The sequence below is a fragment of the Homo sapiens genome, chromosome 3 (genome assembly GCF_000001405.40).
Source record: "Homo sapiens chromosome 3, GRCh38.p14 Primary Assembly".
Lineage (NCBI taxonomy): Eukaryota > Metazoa > Chordata > Mammalia > Primates > Hominidae > Homo > Homo sapiens.
The window spans coordinates 198,132,006-198,157,159 of record NC_000003.12 but is presented as its reverse complement, the minus strand read 5'-3'; the positions used below and the strand labels follow the sequence as shown (position 1 = coordinate 198,157,159).

At 49.3% G+C, this 25,154-nt stretch overlaps 2 long non-coding RNA genes across 3 annotated transcripts in view, besides 2 other annotated features; both read right to left on the bottom strand.

Annotated features, from left to right (window-relative positions):
* LOC124905354 (uncharacterized) lies at nucleotides 1-3,743 on the bottom strand. 2 transcript variants are annotated; one of them, XR_007096244.1, is made up of 3 exons: nucleotides 3,446-3,743; nucleotides 2,112-2,181; nucleotides 1-37 (listed from the first exon to the last, which is right to left on the bottom strand). It is a non-coding gene; the product is annotated as an uncharacterized LOC124905354 (long non-coding RNA). The 2 variants fall into 2 exon arrangements; XR_007096245.1 differs by lacking the exon at nucleotides 1-37 and having other exon boundaries at nucleotides 1,997-2,181.
* The window catches only part of FAM157A (family with sequence similarity 157 member A), a 69,308-nt gene extending 65,354 nt beyond the window's left edge, over nucleotides 1-3,954 (bottom strand). The window contains exons 1-2 of the long non-coding RNA NR_146164.1: nucleotides 3,751-3,954; nucleotides 1,388-1,538 (exon numbers count right to left, since the gene is read on the bottom strand). This is a non-coding gene — a long non-coding RNA (family with sequence similarity 157 member A). The remainder of the gene's footprint in view (nucleotides 1-1,387; nucleotides 1,539-3,750) is intronic.
* Nucleotides 8,801-9,683: an enhancer, noted in NCBI's record as "NANOG-H3K4me1 hESC enhancer chr3:197874348-197875230 (GRCh37/hg19 assembly coordinates)". NCBI's record gives its function as "activates a minimal SCP1, AML or CMV promoter by ChIP-STARR-seq in naive H9 embryonic stem cells {active_cell/tissue: H9 hESC(naive)}" and the evidence as "EXISTENCE:reporter gene assay evidence [ECO:0000049][PMID:30033119]".
* Nucleotides 23,263-23,763: an enhancer, noted in NCBI's record as "H3K4me1 hESC enhancer chr3:197860268-197860768 (GRCh37/hg19 assembly coordinates)". NCBI's record gives its function as "activates a minimal SCP1, AML or CMV promoter by ChIP-STARR-seq in naive H9 embryonic stem cells {active_cell/tissue: H9 hESC(naive)}" and the evidence as "EXISTENCE:reporter gene assay evidence [ECO:0000049][PMID:30033119]".

Sequence of the window (25,154 nt, the reverse complement as noted above, 5' to 3'; positions counted from 1 at the left end):
TCGAGACCATCCTGGCTAACACGGTGAAACCCCGTCTCTACAAAAAACAAAAAAACAAAAAAAAATTAGCCGGGAGTGGTGGCGGGCGCCTATAGTTCCAGCTACTCGGGAGGCTAAGGCAGGAGAATCGCTTGAACCCGGGAGGGGGAGGTTTCAGGGAGCCTCCTCTAAACAGAAAAGACCGACCCCTAGTCAGTGTTTTATTTTCCCTGATGACCGCAGGCCATGAACTTATGGAACAATAACGTAATTAGGCTCTTGGACCCAGGGAAGTAGCTCCATGCCACCTGCCCTCATTTGCTGAGCATTTTGGTTTCTCGGATCTGCTACTCAGTTTCCAGTCTCCTCCTCCCTGCCAATGCTGCCAGCGTGCCTCTTCTGCAAGCAGCAACCGCCTTCCACCTTCCATTCTCTACTCTTTAGCCATCATCTGGCTGGACTTTTCAGAATGGACTGCAAAGGAGAATAAACTGGCTGAGTCTGAGGGTGCACTCACGTGCAAAGTTGCAAGCTTTAATGTACCCATCTTGGCAGATTTTGGCTCCTTAGAGTTCTTTCTCATTTGGGGATCTCATGTGCCCTCTGATGAGGTGGGCTCACTGACTGTCCGCGCTGGTGGCATCTGGCAGCACCTTGTCACGTGCACCTAGGTAAGAACCTGGCTGCACCTGATGCTTAGCCAAACGGGGAACCCACAGTTCTGTGTATCAGGTGACGTTTAATCTCTGGAGGTTAATGAACGTGAGGGAGCGATACTGTCTGGGACTCTCCACATATTGCGTCTGAGTCACTGAAGGAAAAGAATGTGGGGTCTGTTTGCTGGGACTGGACACCTCCATAATCACATGCTCCATGAAATGCAGGCAGGAGATCTCGCTTTCTACCTCTGGGATGGGAGTGTGCAGTTTCAGAATGAGACTAGCCCACACAACTGACTATTTGGGAAAGAGAAATGAAATCAGATGCAGCAATTTAATATCCACTAAGATGATATCTTAATCACAAACACTCTTCTGGTTTTTAGAAATGTGAATGTTATTTACACTAGGTTAAAAAACCTGAATATCCAACAGCATGACACCGACTAAAGAAATACTGGCGCACTCTGGAACCTTGCACACCACTTATTGGCATGGGAACAATGGGAACACGCCTATGCAAAGATGTGCATGGAAATTAGAAGAATGCAACACTGTAGAACAGATGTGACTAGGTGCATGATCAAGAGCACACAAGACCAAGCCTGCCTCTGCACACACAAGACAGCGCCTGAGTCTGCACCACATGACGGGACCACTGTGGAGCAAGCCTGGGAGATTCTGATGTAGGCAGCAGAGGCGTCACTTAGGGACCAGACTTCCGTGGGAAACCACCATCTCCTTCCAACCCAGATGCGCTTCATGGCAAACGCGAGCAGATGAAGGTCATGTAGGAGACGAAAGAACTCGCTCCCCAAGCCCGTAGGCCTTTGTCCTCCACCCATGGACCGAAGCATCTTGTTAGATGAGGGCCGCCCGCAGCCAGAGCCGGCGGAGAACCTGCCACGGAGCAGGTGTCCGTAAAGAACTGCTGACTGTCACTGTCCCTACTTGGGGGCCACTGGGGGATCTGATGCATCTCACTACCCTTTGTAAAGGAATTATTGAAAATGTCAGCCCTCTAACAAGGCATAGGTTGATTAGTTACAGGATTTAACATTTCTATTTTAAAAGGCAGCATTGAAGAACGTCTTTACAAAGGCTGTACAAAACCTGCCATATTCTTTGTCACACAGATTGACTCATGTGCAATGCAGCCATTTGATGAAACACTGGCATTTACCAGATGTAAACTTATTAGCAGACGACAACTAGAAATAGTGTGCTGGATGTGCCCGTTTATTTATATGAATATAACCATCTCTCTAGATGCATCGAAAGATACACAACATGAGATCCACTTTATTTCTACAAGTTTATGATCAGGTGGTCAGGACAGGGAAAGAAGAGGAAAAAACTTTAAATCATGGACCTTTATTCTTAGACACCTTTATCCTACATACACAAGGGACATGCATGGTTGAAATAACGGAAACAAGTGGATAAAAGTGAAAGTAACTTAAACAGCTTTACCCAGGAATGCCCAATTCAGGTGCTGCAGAGAAGAGCATGAGAACCGGGTGTCTTCAGGACAGGTGTGCATCTGGGAGCAGAGTGGGCGTTCATCAGCAGGGAGGAGAAAGGCCTGGGTCGGGGGACACTGGGGCTGCTGTCCCAGAGGCTGGCAGTGTAGCTCTGAACCCCCAAGACTTCACTGAGTCTCCCCTCAACCACCTAAACCAGAATAAACTGATGTAGCAGGACTCCTCAAACACTGTGCAGGGTCTCCATGTCCTCGATGGCCCCTGATGAGCCACAGTACCCTCAGGTCCTGGTGAAGGAGCTGGTGCTGCCTCCTGCCTTTCCCCACATGGGGTCCTGCAGCTCATCCCACACAGCCTCAGATTCCCTCTACAGAACCTGCCCACAGATGTCTTCCGAGACCGGCAATACTGGGAGGCCTGTGGCCCAGACCCAGGAGGAACCAGCTGAGAGGCTCCGTGGAGGTATCGCTGATGGTGTAACCAGAATGAAAATGCCCACTTCTGTTCTGCTCCCTGAGAACAACTGTCAAGCCAGCATGAGTTTCCAGTTGGAACTATTCCTTTTCTCCCCATGTTTGTCGCTGTTTTAATGGACATTGCCTGGCTATTAAATCCCCCGATGAACTCACTTTGAAAATTATCTATTGCACTGGGCACCCTTTCAGGAATCACTGAGTGTTAATTTTCTCAGTCTGAGTGATAATTTATGAGTCAAACAAGGACAGATCTGAAGCCAGAGGCTGCTCCTGTTGGGAAATCCCTGAGGATGATGTTCCAGGGAAGCCTCCAGCCTTGGGAGTCCCGTGGAACTGAGCCAGCCCAGGTCATGAAGGGAGCTGGTGCCAGACACTGACTGGGGACCTGCTGGCCTCTGGGCAGACCGCTCTGTCCCTGCACCTGGCCTGCCAGGTATCCCTGTGCAGTCATACCAAGTCCTGTGCTCAGAAGGGCCCCAGAGTAGTTTAAAGCTCTGCTGCCGCCCCTGGAAGCTCATGATTTTGAACAACAACAACAAAAAAAAACCCACGTTTTCCACTCGGCCCCACACATTATGTGGCCTGCGCAGCTGTCAGGCTGTGGCCACAGTGCTGGCATCTCTCACACAATGAAGGCTGCTGGAGTCCTGGCTGGCTTGTTTTGACTCTTTTGTGAGGCCCACACCTAAGCTAAACACTCACGTGCCCCCACGCTGACTCCCCACACTCTAAAGCATGAATCTGCCCCTTCAGCTGGGAGAGGGTCCTCGTGTCATCTGGGTTTTTGGAGAGAAGGTCAAGGGAGCCTGGGTTCTAGTTCTTCAGTAATCAAGAGTAAGGGTCTTACCTGTTCACAGGTCCCCGTGGCTGCTTTACAGAAAGCAGGAAGTGGCCACTTCAGCCACACGGCTGCATTTCCAGCTCAGTCCAGGCAGAGCTGCACCCTGCCTTGCACCTCTGCAGATCCTGAGGGGAGTCCTTAACTGAGCCAGGGCGAGTCCTGGGGGCACTCTGCCCCTGGGCAGGCCCTGAATCTCCTCTGCTCCCACACTCTAGAGTTCAACGGGTCTCAGGGGCTCTGCCTGAGGACTGCCCTTCAACCAGGTATTCGTAATTTCCCCAAGACCCAGGCTTGCTGAGTCACTCAGTTACCTGAATGCCTTTTTCACAAAGGGATGACTGTGCTGCTCCGTCTTCCTTCTTTTTTGTTTGCGAGGCCACAGGGAAATCTGGATCCTCTGGTGAAAAAGCAAATCCAGTTGCTGCTGCTGCTGCTGCTGCTGCTGCTGCTGCTGCTGCTGCCAGTTCTTGTAAATGTCCTCACTTGGTTTCTGGGCAGCAACTTCCTTGACTTGCCTGGGGAGCGGATCTGAGCTGCATTTACCAGGCCATGCCCAGGGGAAGTGATCAGTGTGGGACCGTGAAGCTGGATTTCCCCAGGAGCTCCCTCCAAGCTTCTGGGATGATGATAAGACTCGGGATGAACCAAGGATCTCGAACCATGGACAATGTGAAGTCTAGACCCAGTGGAGGAAGAGAAAGGCTACGGGAAGGGCAGGCTTCACGTTACTGAGCATCCGCTACCTGCCACACACTTTCACGTGGCCTTATTCTGTGTGTTTCTCACAGCACCCTTGAGAAATAGAGACTACGATCACATCTTTTACATAAAAGAAAACCACCATCCAGGGAGGCGAAGTCCCTTGCTCACAGACTGTCATGTGGGAAGCTCTCTGGATGCAATGATTGATGTCCTCCAGTTGCAGTACCAGGCAAGCTGTCCCAGAGTTCATGGAGCGGAAAGGCTCGAGAAGCAACTGAGGATGCTCGAATCACAGGTTTATAAAATCCATTCGTAAAACACAGCAAGAAGCTGAGGGAAGGAGATGGGAGGGCCGTATGACCTGATTCCTGTGCTGTCAACATTCATCGGTTCTCTTCTTTCTCTGCTAGTCAACCTCACCCACTCAGGTGTGACCACGAGGACCAGAGCCGAGGTCTGGGCAAGAGTGCTCACAGCTGAAGGGCTTATGACACACACCGGCTCAACGGGACAGACATGGGACAAGTGTGCCTGATCATGGTGGAGTTGCCAAGAAGCAGCTGTCGCACTGCCATGGGTTCTACGTGTTTCTTGGGCAGAGGACGCATGGGACCAGAATGGGCACCAGGAATGGTGGTGAACAAAGGCCCCATGGTTCTGCATGTTTAGGTGTCTCTTGTATAAAGGCACATTGTGAATTGAACATTTAGTGCCCAGGAGCCTCATGCATATTAAGTATCTCTTGGCCCTTGTGTCTCTTCCTTCCCACATGTAACATACCTGTTCTCTGTAACTATCTATTCTGAACGTATCTAAAAACCATGTCTTGCCTGTGTTATACAAACCACATGCATACTCACGTTCTCTGATGTAGCTGAAGGTTTCCTAAGGCCAGGGCACATTTCAGGGTCACATAGAGTGGAGAGAGGGACCAAAATAGCCTTGCTCTGTTTGACTCCCAGCCGAGATGTCTGCTGGGCAGCACTGCCTCTGTAGGCTCTAATGGGGGAAGGGAGCTCAGGGGAGCCTCTGGGGCTGGGCAGGCTACCAGAGGGTGTGGACATTTGGATGGACCCTGACGGAGGACTTGGGTTTCCTTGGGAGGAAGTGTCAGGAAGGGCATCTGGGGCTGAGAGCACTGTGTGAGCAACAGAAGGAAGGAAACTGTGGCTGGCTGGGAAGGGATGGTATGGGGGACAGGGTGAGACTTCTGGCCCTGGGTGCTCAGATGAAGACCTGGGGTTGCCTAGTGGCTGGAAACACACACCAGCTGTGGCAACTTGACCTCTGGGATGTGAGTGTGCAGGCAGCTGCTGAGAACGGCTGTGGATTTGGAGATGTGGCTACAGGGAATGGGCAATGGATTCATCTGGGAATTCTGCAGGCAGTGGCCCATAGAGGAAACAGCCTGGAAATGAGACTGCAGATACGTGCTAAAGAGGCTGGAGGAACAGTGACCCCAGTACAAGTTTATGGATCTTATCCACAATCTAAAGAAATGGAGGCCAAATGGCTTTTGAAATTCTAAGATACATGCAGAGGAAGAGTAATGCTTCATGGGAGAGTCAGACTCTTACTGGCAGTGACGCTACACGGTAGAGCTCTGTTCCTCCTGCCCATGTCTGTGGTTGGGGCTGGGGTAGTGCACAAACATGATGCTGATGAGGCCCAAGCATTGTTGGAAAAGAATTCAGCAGCTGCCACAAGAATCTTGAATCCGTGGGTGAAGACCTTGACTTTCTCTGGGACCAATGTGGTCAAGAACAAAGTAAAATCATGACAACAAACACTGTTCAGTTTTCCAAATATAAGCTATTTTAAATACTCTACATTTACCCTCAAAGACTGACATAACTTAGAATAACTTTTATAACAGCAAGGATGAGAACTAAAACTTAAATTGTAAATACAATTTTATTTATAAAAACAAAGTTAGCTTCAAATATTTTATGAACTAGTAGAATTTTAACCTTTTGTCACATTTCCCAGCAAAATAAATAATTCTTTTTTTCACTTCTAGTCTGTCAGAAGAAAAGTCTTAGCTGAAATGGCCAGAAACTCTGAGGCACACTCCGGAGGCTGCTTCCGGGGCACCTCGGCATGGCCGCTTTTCCATGCCGGCCCTCACTTGATGCGGTCCAGCAGGGTTGAAATTGTTTGAAATGCTTGTTCCCAGTGCGGTAAAGAAATAGCACTTGAATGTAAATTTAATTTCCTCAGCAAGGCCATTTTTATTTTTTTTTAATTTCTGCAGAAAGTGTACACTCGCCAGCAGTTTTGCCACAACAGTATACTGAGCAAAGGAGACAGGGTCATTTATAACCTGATGCATCCACCCTACTGCTGTGTCCAGTTTCCAGTGGCTGGAACGGGACCTCACATTCTGTATTTGTCCCGATTGGCTAGCAATTTAGAACTTTTTTAAAGAGGAAAAGGCAGAGGAGAACGAAGGAAGGAGGAAATAACTTGTGGAATGCTGAAAAAAGTAAAAACACCTTCGAATAAAGAAGAGGAACAGGCAATGACCTAAAGCTTGCTTGGACTAGTATAAGCATGCCAGGGCAAATATTTAGGCTAAATTGTGGGAGCTAAGAACATAAAGTACATTGATTTCTTTATTAGGGCTAGCAGATATTTAAGAATGTTAGCACAGGTCTTTGAATAAATTTTGCTTCTAAGAGAAGTTACTATTTATTTCTAATGAGATGGGAAGGAAAGTCTTTGAAGAGGAAACTCTACTTTTTACAGAAGTAGGAACTTAGACTTACAGTTTGCACATTGACAAACTTGTTTTCCTTCCGTACACGAGGGGTTTATGATCCTCTGTTGCAACTGATTTGTCTTATGTAACTTCAAGAGTTACTCGTCAACCTACTTAGTATTCTGGACTTTTCGGGAAATGGCAATTTGCCTTCCTATTTAGTGGAAGGGATACTGAGACTGCACTTTTTCTTACGCCAAGAAGTGCACAGTGTCATTGCAATGTCAACATCAGGGAGATCTCAGCCAGTGTGAAATAATTAGATCATCCACTCAAAATTCTTAGTTACATCTTTTTAACATTTTCTTCACACTTCTTAAAAGCAGCTTAACAAGAATTGCATTAGTCAGGGTTTTCCAGAGAAACAGAAAAGAGAGAAGGAGATGTCCAGAATTGTCTCATGTGATTACAGAGGCTAGAATCCAAGGAAGAGTGGCTTGAGTCCAGGGGCAGAATTCCCTCTTCCCCTGGGAGGTCAGTATTTCTTCCTTTAAGGCCTTCAACTGATTGGATGAGACCCACCCACATTATGGAGCATAATCTGCTTTACTAAAAGTATACTGGCTTAAATGCTAATTTCATCTGAAAAATACCACAGAATAATGTTGACCAAGTACTGGGAGAGGCCTTTTCCTTCATCTTTTGGTAAATTGCAATCCCTGGGTATATTCACATTTGAAACTCAAATGTGGGCATTGGCTACTGCAGGCCTTTCCCGGCTCAATGGAGTGCAGACAGGGGAGGCACAGGAGTGACTCCACTGTGTGAAGAGAAGACTGATGAGGGCCCGTGTGGCACCTCAGGTAGGGTCTGCACTGTCTGGACTATGGTCAGGCCCCTGCCTGAGCCAGCCCTGCTCTCCAGTGTCCCCAAGGAATCCCTGAAACTAGCATCTCATGGAGGAGATAGACGATGCAGGAGGTCCCCTGTGCCCAGAACAAATGGTACAACAAGGCCCTCTGTTCCCCAAACTGGTCTCAGCAAACTTTCCCCACAGCTTGGATCTGGGCAGGTCACAGGGCCCAAACCTCATGACCAGCAGTGCTGGACCAGGGGGCTAGAAGGGCAGGTGGAGCTCTCTGACGACATTGTGGAGAGGAGGGGTGCCAGGCAAGGGGTGTCCAGGCAGGGGGTGTCCAGGATACTGTCCTGAGAGCCTCTCCAGGGACAGATGCCCTTAGGGGCAGAGAAAAAGGCAACCGGGGAGACCAGAGGAGTCTGATGCAGATAAGGAGGGGCTCTGTCCAGTGATGTTTCTCCACAATGAGCTCTCCCGAGGACAAGCAGCCTGCTTTATAGGCTAACCCCACTGCACAGTGAGAAGACGAAGACTTCGGAACTCAGTTCCCTAGAACCTCTTCTCTCCCTGCATAGTCCGGCCCTATTGGTCCCTTCTGGTCTTGAAGGTCTTTAATGGAAACAAACCGCAAGGCCAAGGCCAGACCTGCCTGCCCTTCATGCCCATCTCCACGCAGCAGTTGAGTGTGGACTCTGCCTCCCCTGTCCCCCGAACAGTGAGTCCCCACCAGCCCCTCCAGGGACACAGTGCCAGCTCTGCAGCCCTCCCGTCCCTCTGTCCATTCTTCTGCAGGCAGGATGGGCACTGTGGCTGGAGGAAGGCTCCTGATCCACTGCTTTGGGGGAATCTGATTTAGCACTCTACAGGGAACCCAACAGAGATCCAAAGCTGAGTACTGATTCAGAGAAAGAACATTTCTGCTAAGCTTAGGGCCTCAGGGAGGACAGATAATTATCTAAAGTTGACAGAACAATCAATTTTCTGGGTCTGAAGTTTACAAACAAAATCCCTCTCCTTTGAAGGCAGATTAGCCATGGAAACACCTTCTACATTGCCTGCCTAAATGGTTTGTCTCTGCAATCAATCTCTCTATTCTTTAAAACAGAATTAGGATAATTTGCATAATTGTTTCTTGTCTCAGAGAAATCTTACGGGGAGGCTGTCTCCAGACAACCAGCAGCCTGGGCTCCAGGACGACGCCAAACCCACAGGCAGCCTTGCGGTAAGGCTCCAGGCTCTAGAGCCAAAGGCTCTAGGTCAGAGGCTCCACCTGGGACCCCTGCGCCCTCCCTGCCAGGGCGGCAGAGGGAGCCACATCCCTGAAAGCCTCTGGCTTAGGGACCTCAGAATTCCCACCTCTGATAAGGTAATGAAATGAGCCAAGGTTGGTAAAAATCTGTGAACAAACTGGCCTACAGTGGCTAAAACCAGAGGGAGAAAAATAATGTGATAAACCCCCAAACCAGCCATCCTGGGAAGTTTCAAGGGGCGGCTGCACTCCTGACTCCTCCCCAGCCTCCTGGAGCTGCCCAGGTGAGCAGACAGAGTTTTGAGAGCTGGTACTGAGACTCTGTGCCTGGAGACAGACACTGGGCAGGGACCCTCAACTTTCCTGTCCGTTTTGCGCAGAGAGTCAGAAACAGATGCTGGGGAGCAGCCAGCAAGCAGAGGGCTGCCTGTCTCAGAGGCAGGAGCATCCACCTCAGAGGATGGCAGGTGGGGAGATCCTGGACTGTGCCACCCCCAGGGGCTCTGCAGCCCTCCCGGTGCTCAGTTATCAGGCTCACTACCTCTCAAAGGCGTCTCTTCTCTCTGTGGACATTTGTCTGTCACAGCTGCAAGATTCTCACAATAAACTTGCTCTCCAGATTCCTAAAAGAATTGCTTGCTCCAGTTTAGCCAGCTAAGACTTTCTTGGATAATGGCATAATCTGGAAGGATATTTAACAATTTTAAACTGGAAATTATTGACTCTATGGTGAGTCAGGAAAAACCACATTCACAATATTCAACAGCAGCGCTGGGCCTTGATGCTCCAGGGCAGTGCAGGGATTAGAGATCTGAGAGGTTTCATGACGCTTCTCAGGGGAATACACGGGTTCTGGGTTCTTCTAAGGAAGCTCCCTCCATGCCAGCCACCACCTTGTCTCTGCTGGGGAAACAGTGGTCCAGGGGCCCTCAACTGCAGGGAAATTATTGAACCTCCCAATGTCACTGCATCTCCTCTGGGTCTTCTTTTATTCCTTCTTTCCCCTAGAAAACACCTTCTGACACACGCCCGCTCTGCCTGTCTGTCCCCTGCTGCGGCCAGACAGCGAGCAGGGAAGAAATCCAGTGTCTGGACTGTTTGCTGGTCTGCAGAACCTGTTCTCTCGCAGTATCTGTTTTCCAATGCAGATTTTCACAGTTCCCTAAAGAAACTTCAATTTCCATTCCCAGAATGACTTCATTTCCTGATACCCAGCCCAAATTCACGTGTGTTTGCAGCCGATGTGGCAACATAGCCACTTGGGTGGGGGTGAACATCACAGCCCACAGTTCTGCAGTTCAGATTTGGGTTTATCTTAGCACTTAGTGCAACTTTGCATTTGGCAGAGGTCTTTCTCTTTTGTAGTCCTTGCCACCAACCTCATTACTTGTGAGAGTCTGCCTCATGCCTGTCTGCTCAGCAGATGAGAGACCTTGAGGCCTGGGAAGATCCCGCCCTCCTTGGCTCTGTATTCCTAGGTAGTGCATTGCCTAGTGGTTGGTTAATTTTAGGTGTCAACTTGACTAGGCTGAGGGAAACCCAGATAGCTGATAAAACATGCTTTCTAAGTGCGCCTGAGAGGGCGTTTCCAGAAGAGATCAGCATTTGAATCAGGGGAGTGAGTGGGAAAATCCACGCTCCCCAAAGGCTGAGGGCCCAGATAGAACAAAAAGGCAGAGGAAGGGTGAATTCTTTCCTTATTCTGGATCTGAGACATCCATCTTCTCCTGCCCCCAAACATCAGAACTCGGGGTTCTCAGGCCTTTGGACTCCGGGACGTACACCAGCAACTTCCCTGGTTCTCCAGCTTGTAGATGGCAGCAGGACTTCTCATCCTCCATAATCACATGAGCCAAGTCACATGAAAAATTCCTGCTCATCCCTCTCTCTGTGTACATCCTATTGGTTCTGTTTCTATGGAGAACTCTAATACAACTGGCACAGACTAGCTGCTCAACAAGTGTTTTATTTCTGAATGACTCAGATGTTTGAGCAGCTTCCAAGCTTACATACCTGTGTTTCCATTAAAGCCATTGTTTAGGAGGCCGATGGCAACAAAAGGTTGAAACATGGCAAAATCAGGGGCAGTTGATTTGAGTTATACCGTGATGTGTTTACATTTGTACTATGATAGGGATTTATTGCAAGGAGTTAGGAATGCTGGCCTCTAAAAGCTGGAAAAGTGTATTTTGTTGGGGAGGCCTGGGAGCCCCCATCTCACACACAGGAGGGAAGACACAAGGGGAAGCACTCGTGACGATGAACGAGATGTTGTTCCTGCCAGACGCAGGTCCTTGCCGTGTGTGTGCATAACCTCATTTCATTCGATAGCAACTCAGGAGGAGGAAATCATTATTAACTGTATTCTTTTATGTACAGAAGCTGAGGCTTGAAAGTGAAAATGACACAGCTGTTCATGGTCTTGCTGGCATTGGAGCCAGGAGAGAAAAATCCCTTGGTAAAATCTCCCAGCTGAATGGGGAAATGGGAATATATCCCGCATGGCCCAAAGAGACAATGGCTGGAAGTGGTCACAGTCCTCGAGGGGGAGCTGTGTGGTGGCCAGGCTGTGGTCATGAAGACACAGCGGCGTGGGAGGCTGAGGGTCGCTGGGGATGCTGGCTGGAATGTTTCTGTTAATAGCTGGAGCTCCAGAGCCTGTCCTGGAAGAGGGATGGGGGCCTGGTCCTGGGAGAGTTTGTAAACCGGCATGAGCACATGTCAGGGTGGAGCTCTGACGTCAGGACCCTGGCATGACTGCAATAGACATCACACAAATGGGGCAAGAGGACCAAGCCTCCCCACGGTACAGCTGCTCAACTGTGTGGGGGGAGCTGTGGTGAAACACAGGACTCACTTAGAAAGATCCAGAGAGAGAATCCACCCACAGAAAACCTGGAGAGCATTTTGAAATTTCCTACAGGAAATCCAGGAGAAAAGGAGTCCTATTCAGTGATGGGAGGGGGTGCAGGTCAGGGGCCGCATCGGAAGGCAGTCGTCTGAAGGGATGCACGGATTCACGATGGAGGTGCTGAGACAGCCACAGGAGGTGGTGAGTGGGGGCCATGGGGATTGGGTGGGGAATCTAGAGCTGGGACACTCTGGTTTTGATGGAAGGAGCATCGCCCTAGGAAGCAAAGACACAGATTCGAGTCCAGGCCTGGAGCAACCTTCAATCACCCTTAAGCCCTCTGAGTTTCTGCGTCTGTGAAATAAGCATAATGATTCCCACCTCACAGGGGCAGGGGCAGGGGCAGGACACTGTGAGATTGTAAGGGTCGGTGTCCCTCTTCGCATGGAGTCAGCAGCCGGCTGGGCTGAGGGAGGTGTTTCTGTCCTTAGGTGTCGCAGGCTGGCTCTCGTGCGTCCTTCCTTCCACTTCTCCCCACCTGCATCCACACAGAGAATACACTACCTCCATAAAACGCTTGCAAGGGGCCACTGTTCTCAGCATTTCACCTGTCAACCTCACTTAAGCCTTAAACAGCCTATGATGAGGTTCTGATAGTGTCTCCCTTGGCCTGCTGGAAGGCCCAGTGCTGAAGGACGACTGGGCACCCCGGCTCTTGGGATGGTCAAAGGCTCTCACCTGGACAGGGAGGACCCCCTCCTCTCCCTGGGCCTTCTGCTGCCCTGAGCCCCTACTGCTCTCTGCCACAGACTCGGGAGGGAGCATGAGCTGCATCCAACAGGCCGCAGCAGGTCCCGGCCTCTCAGCACCCAAGACCAGACAGAGGCAGTGCCTCGGCTGCAGTAAAGGCCTAGCGACCCGGGTGGGCATGGGGCACACGTTCCTACTCTGGCATTAGAGGTCATGCCACTGCTTGTCTTTATCATTCTACCCAGTGTCCTGCGAGGACTTGGTCCTCAGGTGGGTCACAAGTCTCCAGTCCATTAATTAACTGGTCGGAAGTGAGTCCCGGTCTATCCCTGTGAGGAGCAGGGGGACTGGCACCTCATTTCCTCGTGGACTCATGGCCCTACACAACGACATGCCTGGCCTTCCTGGACTCATGCACTCACTCCAGAAGGACATTTGCTTTGAGCTCGCCTGGTGGATGGGGTGCCCCTGAACAGCTAACCATCTGTTGACATTTCCACCATGAGAAAGTTCCTCCAGGCAGCGCCCAGCTAGTGCTCCAAAGAGGTGCAGAATCTGAGAAATTATGTGGTCCACAGTCAACAGCTAACAACATTCATAGGACCTTATTAGCCACCAGCTTGGAGAAGGCCGGTGTCCAGAATAAATCAAATCCTTCATAACTGTCAGACGGTGGTGATTCAGTCAAATCTCAGTCAAAAGATGCTCTGGCCAAAGTCAACAGAGAGCAGAAGCAACTTGCTTTTGCTGGTCCCTCAGCAAGACCACACAGGGAGATTTGCAGGCAATAAACAATGTTGCCTAAAACTTTCCCGTGAGGTGGGAATTGCTTTCATCCAGATAAGAAGGTGCCGGCCCAGGGGAGGTGTGGGTGGCCAAGCCAGGGAGGGGGGCCCTCACGTGGCCTCAAGAGATCAGCAGCCAGGAGTTAGCTCTCTCCACAGCACGCCGAAACGGCTCCACGCCTCTGCTGGTGTTTTTATAGGAACCCCTTTTGTGTGTTTGCTTCCTAGCTCAGACTTGAGTCAAATGGTCTATTAATTAGGGTAGATTTAGTCACTCCTGACATCAGCTTGTGTGGTTCGAGCAGCCCAAGGGGAAGAGACAGGGCCTCCTTTATGCAGACCCCGCAGTCTTCAGAGGACTGGACACAGCCCTGGCCCTGCTGCTGTCTGCCGTGCCTTTTGCTCCCTGGGTTTCATTCCTTGGTCTGTACCTTGAATATAAGGAGATCCGTTTGTACATTTTGCTCTCGTGCATTATACCAAAGGAAAAGAGAAGATAGTAGTTTAAAGCTCCCAACACTTTTCATGTTCTGAGCCTTTAGGTCTCCCATATGGTAGAGAATCCACAAATATCAGAGGACCCCAAACCTCGCCCGAGATGAAACAGCTTTGAGGCTTCCAGGGATCCCTCAGAAGGCTGCACCCAGGCCGGCCACACGTGAAAACGCGATGGCTCTTTTCTTCTCTGTTCACTGTAGTTTTATCAGACAGAGCTCTAAACCAGTTTATTCAATGACACGGAGTGATTCTTTCCTGTCTCTGCTTGTCCAGTGTGTGACAAGAGTTGAGAAGTGGGGAGACACAGGGGGCACATTGAATGCAGGTGGTCTTACCCGCCTCACTCAGGATGCACGTCTTGCCTGGCTAGGCTTGGCCTCCTCTGCACTGTGTGCCCCTCTAAATGAAGCGTGACCCTTCTTCCCCCACCTCATTGGTGGTTCTCTGCCCCCATGAGCTCAGCCAGCTGCTTCCCTGACACATGCAGGTCCTAGCCTGGACGAGACAGAGCAACAAAGGCCGAGTGGGGACGAACACTGGCCTGGCTTTCAGGTCCACCTTTGCCTCACGCAGATGCTTCTCTACCCTTTATGATTGAGATCCTGGAGCAGGGGATCACCTAGTTGTAAGGACCATAAAGTGGAGAAGGAGCAGGGAGCGGTTAGGACCATTGCTGCAAGCTCCTGGTGTCCCTGACAGTGAGAGAGGCAGGACACTCGCCTGGGCTGGGCCTGAGGATGCTGCTTTCCCCTCTGCATGCCTGGGGTCCAACGAGGGTCATGGGACCCAGGAACGTCTCTGCAACTCTGTCTGTAAACATCCAGGAGCTAATTGTGACCTGGAAGTCATTTGGAACTCAGCACAGAGGCCTTCAGAAGTCCCTGCCTTCAGATAAGGGCAGGTGCTTACTCTCCCAGTGGCTAGCACTGTTAAAAACAGACTTTTTTTTTTCTATAGCCAACATCATAACAAATGATGAAATACTCAATAACTCCCCCTAAAACGGGGAGAAAGGGAAGGGTTTCTGTTTTTGTTTTCATCTCTTCTAGTGAGCATTGGGCTGGGAGGTTCCAGCCAGTGCAAAGAGATGAGGAAAAGAAAAGTATAAATATTGGAAAGAAATAAGTAAAACTATCCTCATTTACAGGTGAAATGAGGTGGCAAATCCTAAGGGATCCACAAAAAATCAACTTGAACCAATAAGTGAATTCTGCAACATCACAGGACACCAAGTCAATATGTAAAGATCAGTTGTATTTCTATATACTACTGATGACTAATTTAAAACATCACAGGACACCAGGTCAACATATAAAGATAGGCTGTATTTCTATATACTGCTGATGACTAATTTAAAATGAAGTCAAAAATACTATCTATAATAGTAAAATCAAATACTTAGGGATAAATTTCACAATATATGTGAAAACCTCTACACCAAAAATTATCTGAGAGATATATCTCTAAATATACCATGTCTAATTCTTCACAAATTGATCTAATCATTCAATGAAATCTCAATTGGAGTCCCTGTGGACTTTTCCTCTAAATTAACAGGATGATTTAGAAGTTCATAGAGAAGTGAAGGTCTAAGGGCAGCCACAGCCATCTGGAAAGGAACGGCACCATCAGAAGAGTTGTCAAATCTTGCACCAGTAAGGCCATAAAGAAATAGCTCACTGGCATAGAGCAGAGATTACAGAAATAGGCTGACAGGCACCATCCCATGATTTTCAACAAGCAGGCCAAAACCACAGGGGGAAACATGGTACTGAAATAACTGGATATCAGGCCAGGCGTAGTGGGGCTCATGCCTGTAGTCCCAGGACTTTGGGATGCCAAGGTGGGAGGATTGCTTGGGCCCAGAAGTTTGAGACCAGCGTGGGCAACGTCATAAGACTCTGTGTCTCTACACAGAGATGTAGGCCAGGCACGGAGGTGCACACTGAGGCAGGAGGATCCCTTGAGCCCAGGGGTTTCAGGCTGCAGTAAGCTGTGATCGCAGCTTGGGCGATAGAGTGAGATCCTGTCTCTAAAATATAAAATATATAAATAAATAAAACAAAACTGGATATCCACATGAAAAGAAAAAAGAATCTTGACTCCTCCTTCTCATACCTTCGAAACTGAGAGGTTAGGCAAGGGTTTCATAGAGAAGACACAAGCCATAAACTAGAAGATTGATAAACTAGAGTATAACTTACGAGGGAAACGAGAGTGACTTCATGCTGGAGAAACCTGGCCAGCACACTCTGCCAGGTAGCCGAGGTCAACATCAGCAGTGAGCCGGGCCGAGGCAGGACCCCTGATGTGGTGGCATGAGAAGCGCCTCACCTCTGCTCTTCCTCCAAGGAGCCCACAGCCGGAATCTGATCATGAAAAAAAGACTTCACACGAACCCCGGCAGACAGACACTCCCCCAGATGCCTGAGCCCAGCTTCTCAGAACTTTCAAGATCACAGAAAACAAGGAAGGTCTGAGAAACTGTCACGGCCCAGAGGACCCTAGGGAGATGTGACAAGCAAATGTCACACGGGATCCTGGATGGGATCCTGGATGGGATCCCGGCCCACAAAACGGCCACCCGAGAACAAACCAAATGAACTGTGGGCTTTAGTCAATGATTATGTAGCAACGTTTGTTTGCTAATTCTGACAAATGTACCATTATAATGTAAGGCATTAATAATAAGCAAACTGTGTGAAGTATATGGGAACCCGGCACTATCTTTATAACAATTCTGTAAACTCGAAATGGCTCTAAAATAAAAAAACTTCATTTTAAAAAACCAGCCACAGGGGAAGGAGGGAGATTGATAAATTGGACTTCAAGAAAATGGAAGTCATTGGGTGAAAATACACACAACAGGGACACCTGATGAAAGACCTCCATGAAGAATGTGTAAGCAACTCTGGAGACCCAGCAATCAACAGACTACTGCCCAATTCTAAAAAACGGGCAAAGACTTGAGCAAACACTTTGGAAGATACACAAATAGCTGATGAGTTTGAGAAAAGCTGCTCAGCCTCGTAGTGATCAGGAAGTGCAACTGAAAAATCTCAGTGGGACACCCTGCACGCCCGCCAGGGTGCAGGTGGAAAGGCTGGCAACACGACAGTGAGGCTTATGCCAAGCAACCGGATCCTCATCGCCTCTGGGGACAGCCTGGAATGTGGCCACCACTTAGGACCATGGCTTGGAAATATCTTAAATCCAACGTATTTCTACATGCTAGTGATGCTGCTCATCAAGGGGGTGAGCACTCATGGGCTGGGGATGCTACAGGGTCCTCAGTGCCTGCCCATTTCACAGGACGGGAGACTGAGGTCTAGAGGGAGGCAACAGCCAAGGAGGCCCTGGATCCAACGCCTCGCCCAAGCCACCACGGCTGCCTCCTCCTCTGGCCCCTCCATCTCCCCCACTCCTTCTTCTCCCCCTTGTCCCCCTTCTCCTTCTCCCACCCCTCCTCCTCCTCTCCCTCCTCCTCATCCATTGTCCTCCTTGTCCTCCTTATCCCCCTCCTTGTCATTCTCCTCTTCCTCCTAGTCCTCCTTCTCCTCCTCCTTCTCCCCCTCCTTATTCTCCTCCTTCTCCCCGATTCCTCCTCCTTCTCCCCAACTCCTCCTCCTTCTCCCCGACTCCTCCTCCTTCACCTCCTCCTTGTCCTCCTCCCTCTCCTCCTCCTCATCCCCCTCTTCCTCTTCCTAATTCTCCTCCTCTGCCTCCTCCTTGTCCTCTCCCTCCCCCTTGTCCTCCTCGTCTTCCTTTTCTTCCTCCTCTTCTGTCCCAGGGCTTTCAAACTCTGGCTCTCTAACGACATGGAAGAGTTAAAAGGAGGAACGCTGGCTCAGCCAAGCCCCGGAGACTCCTACTTGATATGGGCAGTTTAAAGCCACTTTCCCTTTAAATTTTTCTGTGACAACTCTTTTCATGGAGAATGAAAAGACTCTCGTTAAGTGTTGCCATTCAGAAGTGTTGGCGGTCGTTGCTAACATGAGATCCAACAAGGTAAATGCCAGAAGCCATCTGCAAGGGGTAATATCTTATTCTGCTTTTGCATAAGTGATGCTGCATCCCTTTATCTCTCTGCTGCCGGCCTTCAGTGCTGATGGCCTGTGCCACCCAATGACTGGTTAAATCAGCTTGAGGAAGAGCTCTTTTGAGGCTCTGTCCAGTTTAGCAGGGGAAACTTCAAAGTCCCAGCATCCTGGTCATGGAATGCTATGTTAACCCTTTCCAAAGTTTGAGACTGAGATGGGCAGACCATTTTAAAGACACACTGCATCCAGCCTCCCATGACAGAGCCTCATGGGAAGGGTGGTGAGCAGGGTCGTGGGGATATTCTATCCTGAGCCTTCCATGTTGGGGCTTCTCGGAGACAGGGGAGGATCACAGCCTCAGTGACTGGCCATTGGCCAAATACACTCATTAAAATGCCCTTCTCCAGGGCTGGGGACCTGACTCTCTCAGTCTGTGGGGCCCAGCCCACCTGCTCCTCCCTAATGGCTCCTGCTGGATGGGGAACAGCCTGGCACCAGGTGAACCATCACTGACTCTCCCTGGGGAGAGACGAGGGAGGAGGGGGCATGTCCAAGAGGCCAAGGTACAAGCCCAGTGCCCTGCAGGTCTTCCAACATTTCCAGCCTTAATGGCCATGATCGCCATGGTCTGGACTTTCTGAAGAAAGTCTTTTCACAGGCTCGGCCTGGCTGGAATCTGACCTGTGAAGCCTTTGGGTCAGTCGCAGGAATTATCAAGCATCTGCCATGCCTGGAAGAGTTGGACTGGGGAGGCACAGGGCCTGCCTGGCGTCAGGTGCTGAGGAAGGGATGATAAATGCACCCCCTCTGTTTTGTCCGTTTCTCACGGCCTCTCTGGCCACCCTGTCCGCCTGTGTCTGTCCTGCCCAGCCCTTCTCTGACGAGCGTGTCTTGGTGCTTTGTCTCTGCTCACCCTGGGCTCATCACTGTAAACAGCAGGAGGTTCCACACCAGGCGAGGTGTGCCATTGTGACTGAAGGTCTCAGGGAACAGAACTGAGTCTGGGTGGGTTGAGCTGGGAGTTTCATAGCTGTAGGAAGCTGCGATCGCAGCTTCATGATGCAGACAGAAGGCCTTGTCTCAGCTCAGTGGGGGAAGCCCCTTGTCGACTCTAGGCAGGGGGGATTGTACCGCTGCCTCTCCCAGTAGCAGCTCCCAGGAGGCAGTGCAGTCACGGGGCCCCGCTGGTAGAAGCTGAATAGTCCATCGGGAAAACCTCAAAGGCCACCAGTCCTCGAGGTAGCTGCTGCTCCAGCTGTGCTCACCTGGAGTGGAGGGGCAAATGGCACCAGGGGTGGGAGAGGTCAAGGCAGAGCCTCTGCCCCATCCTAGACCAGCTGCACGAGACGACAGCTCACACCAGCTGCCCAGAGGCACAGCCCCTCTGCCAGGCTTCAGCAGGGCATGGCTTGATCTCAAGGCCCTCTCTTCCCGTCCCACTGCCCCTCCCTCCTGTGACAGGAGGACCAGCAGTTCCACTCTGAGCCCGGCTGAGGCCCGACCTCCTCCACCTCAGCCCTGAGAATCTTCTCCAGCTGGGATGGCTGTTGCCCTGTTGTTCTGTTGTCCTCTTGTCCTGTTGTTCTGTTGTCTTGCCCTCCCAGCTCCTGACCACACAGGGGCTTTGTTCCCACGCCAGCCTCTTTGGGGAAAGTGGGGGAGGGGGGCCCTGCTCCAGGCTCTGGGACATTTGTCTTGGGCTGTAGCCTGTGACCAAGGAGAAGAAACCCTGAAGGTGGGTTCCCACCAGATGTGGGCATGGTCAGCTACATCAGGCCCCCAAAGGTGTGCACATCCTAATCCCACGAACCCGTGGGCACGTTACCTTACATGCAACAGGCACTCTATGGATGGAGTCGGGATAAGTGTCTAGAGATTGGGAGGTTGTTCTGGGTCATCCAGACGACTTATGAGAGGGCCCTTATGAGAGGGAGGCAGCAAGCTCACAGAGAGGGCCATGGAACAACAGCAGCTCAGACACAGCAGAGGCCGCACAGCTGTCCTGGGTGCCGAGTAGCTGCAGAGGTCAGAGGAGGTGCAGAGCAGGTGTTCTGCAGCCTCCAGAGGGACCAGCCCTGCTGACTCCCTGGCTTTGGCTCAGTGAAACTCATTTCGGACTTCTGACCTCCAGCTCTGCAAGAGAAGGAATCTGTGCTATTTTAAACCACTAAATTTGTGGTTTCTGTTCAGCAGCAGTGGGAGAGGGCGAAATGCTCTCCAGCTTGGCACCCACAGCCCAGCTCAAAGGCAGGGACTGTGGTTGCTTTGCAAATGAGGGAGGCTGGGTCCCTGCCTTCACCGGGCTTACCATCTAGGTATGGAGAGGAGTAACGTAAGGTGAAGTCAGAAAAGAATCATAAGAAAAGAAAGTCCACACCCTGGAAGGATCTGAGGCAGAAGGAAGCTCTTGCTGAACCACCTGAGAGGAGGCGGTCTGGCCTGGGCACCCTGGGGGGCCTGTGCCCCCACTTCGAGGCCCCCCTGGAAGGTGCTTGGCTCTCCGGATGACCCCAGCACTGGGGAGACCCGCTGTGCTTTCCAGGCAGCACAGACACCTCGGTGTAGGTGTTGTGGTGCCACAGGGAAGGGTGTTTCTTCCAGCCTGGTTCTCAGGACGGGCTGCTGGCTGGAACAAACCCCACCTCTATCTGAGCCACCAACCATCTGAACCGGTATTCTCTCTATCTGACAAATATTCCTCCTTCTTTACATCCCAGAAATGGTGAAAATGCACAATGCCTCAGGACACCTTGAGGAAGGAGCAGCGTGTTGCTGCCGAGGGTGAACACACGTGGTCTCTGCGGAGAGGCGACAGATCTCCCTGGGCGTCAGTCATCCTGGGACTGGGTGTCGTGGAAGAAGGTGACACCAGGCAGAAACCAAGAGCAGGGGAGCTGCAGGCCGGCATCAGAGCCCGTATCAGAGCAGAGTGGCCCCTGAGCGGGGAGGGAGCCGGAGATCACTGTTGGAGGAGGGCCCGGCACCTGCACCTGAGGACGTGAGTCTAATAAAAGAGTATAAATAATATAATAAAAGAGAGTATAATAAAAAAATAATTTAAAGAAAATAGAGCTTGATAAATCTGTTTCTTCATCTTCATAATAATGTCAAATTTGTTGAGATTTTTTTTAAATGGCACGATTTGTCTACAGATCTTTGTACTCTGTCTGGCTTAAATTAAATATATATACAACTTATATAATAAAATACTGGGCTGTTTTATTATTATATTGATAATTTCTTAGTCAACACTACTTTGATCATATTCTATAAACGGCACTGTAAGACCTGTGACTGGTTATCAACAACATAAAGTGATTATGAGAGTTTCATGTGACAGATGAAGGAAGGTTGGTTAGTGCAGTGGCAATAGTTGGCAACCTGAGAAACTGAGCTCACAATTTTAGAAAAGTATTATTCTTTCTAACTAGATATTTCCATGAAAAGAACCTTGTGAAATGCAGAAATGCCAAAAGAATAATTATAAGATAATAACCAAATAACTAAAATGCATCTCAATTTCTCTGACAATTTAACTTAACGTGGGGTGCAGGCAGAATCACAATGTTTACAAACATAGGCATTTATGATCTCAAGACGTTTAATTCTTAGCTCATTGAGGAAAACAGTAGCGGAACTGTTATTGCAGAGATAAAAGACAGAAAACAGTGGAAGGGCTTGATCACAAGTCATATGTTCCAGTTTTGGAAACCTCTAAAAATCCTGCCTGGTGATAGGTTTTTCTTAACTCATTATTGAAGAATATATGAGCAGGCAGAGCATGGTGGCTCAAATCTGTAATCCCAGCACTTTGGGAGGCCAGTGTTGGAGGAACACTCGAGGCCAGGAGCTCAAGACTAGCCTGGGCAACATAGCAAGACCCTGTCTCTACAATTTCTTTTTAAACTAGCCGACTGTGGCGGCATATGCCTGTAGTCCCAGCCACTAGGGAGGATGAGGTGGGAGACTGGCTTGACCTTAGGTGTTTGAATCTGGAGTCATCTGTGATTGTGCCACTGCACTCCAGCAAGAATGACAGAGCTAGATCCTGCGTACAAATATACACATATTGTATATATTGTCAATGACCAGTCACAGGTCTTACAATGCTGTTTATACAACATGGTAAAAATGATGTTGACAAAGAAATTATCACAATAATAATAATAAAAGCCCTGTGTGTTATTATTTAAGTTGTTCATAAATTTAATGTAAATGAGGTAGAGTAATAAAGATCTGTAGACAAATCATGTCATTTATTTTTTTAATCTCAACATAATATAACTTTTTTTTTTTTTTTAGACAGATTCTCACTCTGTCACCCAGGCTGGAATGCAGTGGCTAGATCTCGGCTCACTGCAACCTCCACCACCCCGGTTCAAGCGATTCCTCTGCCTCAGCCTCCCGAGTAACTGGGATTACAGGTTGCTGCCACCGTGCCTGGCTAATTTTTGTATTTTTAGTAGAGAGGGGGTTTCACATATATTTTAATTAGAAAATTAAAATTTTAAACTTTCAGAGGAAGTGGTAGTAATATAAAACAGGATATTTTTATAATAAGGAACTCTTATATTTTGCATATTATTCTCTCATCACCAAATAATGCTACCTAAAGTAATATACAACCAATTTAATAAGTTTAGTTTTAAAAAACACAAAATTACAAAACAATTAATACAATATTTGAAATCATGATGCATATTGCCAGCCTCCCTTCAGGTAAAGTTCTATTAACTCTACAAAAATTTTCTAAATGGCAGATGTTACATTTCCAGATAGCTTTGTGGTAACCAACACAGAATTGATTTATTAGTAATTTTTATATCACATTGAGACAAAATATTATTTGTGATAAATATTGTTACATATTTAAAACATCTCATGTATTAAGAAATCATACTTTAGATGGGGCCAAGCTGGCCTATTAGAAGCAGCTGTGGCCTGCGGCTCTCACGGAGAGCAGTAAAAACTGCGAGTGAATTCTGCACCTTCAGTTGAGGTATCCAGGTTCTTGCATTGGGACTGACTAGCCAGACAGCTCGACCCACAGGGAGTGAGGAAAAGCAAGTGGGGCGATGGCCCACCCAGGTGTGGCACGGAGCTAGGGGCGACCCCACTCACAGCCAAGGGAGGCGGTGAGTGATTGTGCGACTCTGCCCGGGAAACCATGCTTCTCCCACGGATCTTTGCAACCTGCAGATCAGGAGGTCCCCTGGTAAGCTCAGCCATGGCCTTGGGTCTGAAGCACGGAGCTGTGTGGAGTCTGGGCGGAATGCTCGCTGGCTCACTGGGGCATGCGTGAAAGCCCAGGAGTTTTGCATCCTCTGCCCCGAGAATTCCAGCAAAGCGGAAGATACATCCGTGCATTCCCCTAGGAAGGGGGCTGAATCCAGGGAGCCAAGTGACATCATTCTGAGGCCCCACTCCCACAGCACCTCACAAGTCCCATTGGCTTGGAATTCCAGCTGGCCAGCGGCAGCAGGCTGGAGGCAGCCGGAGATGGACCGGGTTCCCGGGGTAGGGCAGCCACTCTATCTGTGGTTTGAGTTGGCCGCTCTAGCCTGCTGGCACCAGGGACCAGGAGGAGTCCCCCATAACACAGCACAGCTGCTGTGACTGATCGTGGCCGGGCTGCTTCTTTAAGTGAGACCGAAATCCATCCCTCCTCACCGAACAGGGCCTGCCCATCGGAATTTAGGAACTCCAGCCAGAGTTCTATGGACAGAACTCTGATTTCTCCCTGGGATGAAGTCCCCAGGGAGAGGGGTAGCTGCTGTCTCCCCAGTTCAGCCGACTGAGCCTTTCCAGCCTGCTGGCTCTGGAGACTCCTGGCAGTCACCACAGCACACCTGCTCTGCCAAAGGGCAGCCACACTGCTTCTTTAAGCAGTCCCTGATCCTGTTCCTCCTGACTGGGCAAGACCTCCCAACAGGGGTCTCCAGACACCTCCTACAGGAGCGTTCCAGCTGGCATCAAGTCGGTACCTCCTTGGACTGGTGCTCCCAGAGGAAGGAACAGGCTGCGATCTTTGCTGTTTCGCAGCCTTCACTGGTGATACCTCCAGGTGCAGGAGAGACTGAGGTGACCAGGGTCCAGAGTGGACCCCCAGAAAACCACAGCAGACCTAGGGAAGAGTGGTCTGTTAAAAACAAACAGAAAGCAACACCATCAACAAAAAAGACCCCACAAAAACCCCATTCAAAGGTCAGCAATGTCAAAAATCAAAGGTAGATAAGCCCACAAAGATGAGAAAACATAACACAAAAACGCTGAAAACTCAAAGAGGCAGAATGCCTCTTCTCCTCTAAATGACAACACCACCTCCCCAGCAAGGGCACAGAACTGACCCAAGGCTGAGATGGCTGAATTGACAAAAGTAGGCTTTAGGAGGTGGGTAATAACAAACCACACTGAGCTAAAGGAGCACATTCTAACTTAATGCAAAGAAGCTAAAAATCATAAAAGAAATTACAGAAGGTGATAACCAGAATTATTCAGTTTAGAGAGGAACATAACTGACCTGATGGAGGTGAGAAACACAACACGAGAACTTCACAATGCAACCACAAGTATCACTAGCAGAATAGGCCAAGTGGAGGAAAGAATCTCAGAGCTTCAAAACCATCTGTCTAAGACAGGAAGAGAGAATACAGAAAAAAGACCAAAAAAGAATGAACAAAACCTTCAAGAAATATGGGATTATGTAAAAAGACTGAACCTAAGACTGATAAGGGTACCTTGACCCACCACGATCAAGATGGCTTCATCCCTGGGATACAAAATTGGTTCAACACAGGCAAATCTATAAATGTAATTCCTCACATACACAGAACTAAACACAAAAACAACACGATTATCTCAACAGATGCAGAAAAGGCCTTCAATAAAATTCAACATCCCTTCATGTCAAAAACTCTCAATAAACTAGCTATTGAAGGATCACACCTCAAAATAATAAGAGCCATATATGACAAACCCACAGCCAATATCATACTGAATGAGCAAAAGCTGGAAGCATTCCCCTTGAAAACTGGCACAAGACAAGGATGGCCTCTCTCACCACTCCTATTCAACATAGTACTGGAATTTCTGGCCAGGGCAATCAGGCAGGAGAAAGAAATAAAGGTATTTAAATAGGAAGAGAGGAAGTCAAATTATGGTTGTTAGCAGATGACATGATCCTGTATCTAGAAAACCCCATCATCTCAGCCCAAAAGCTTCTTAAGCTGATGAACCACATCAAGAGAATCTCAGGATACAAAATCAATGTGCAAAAATCG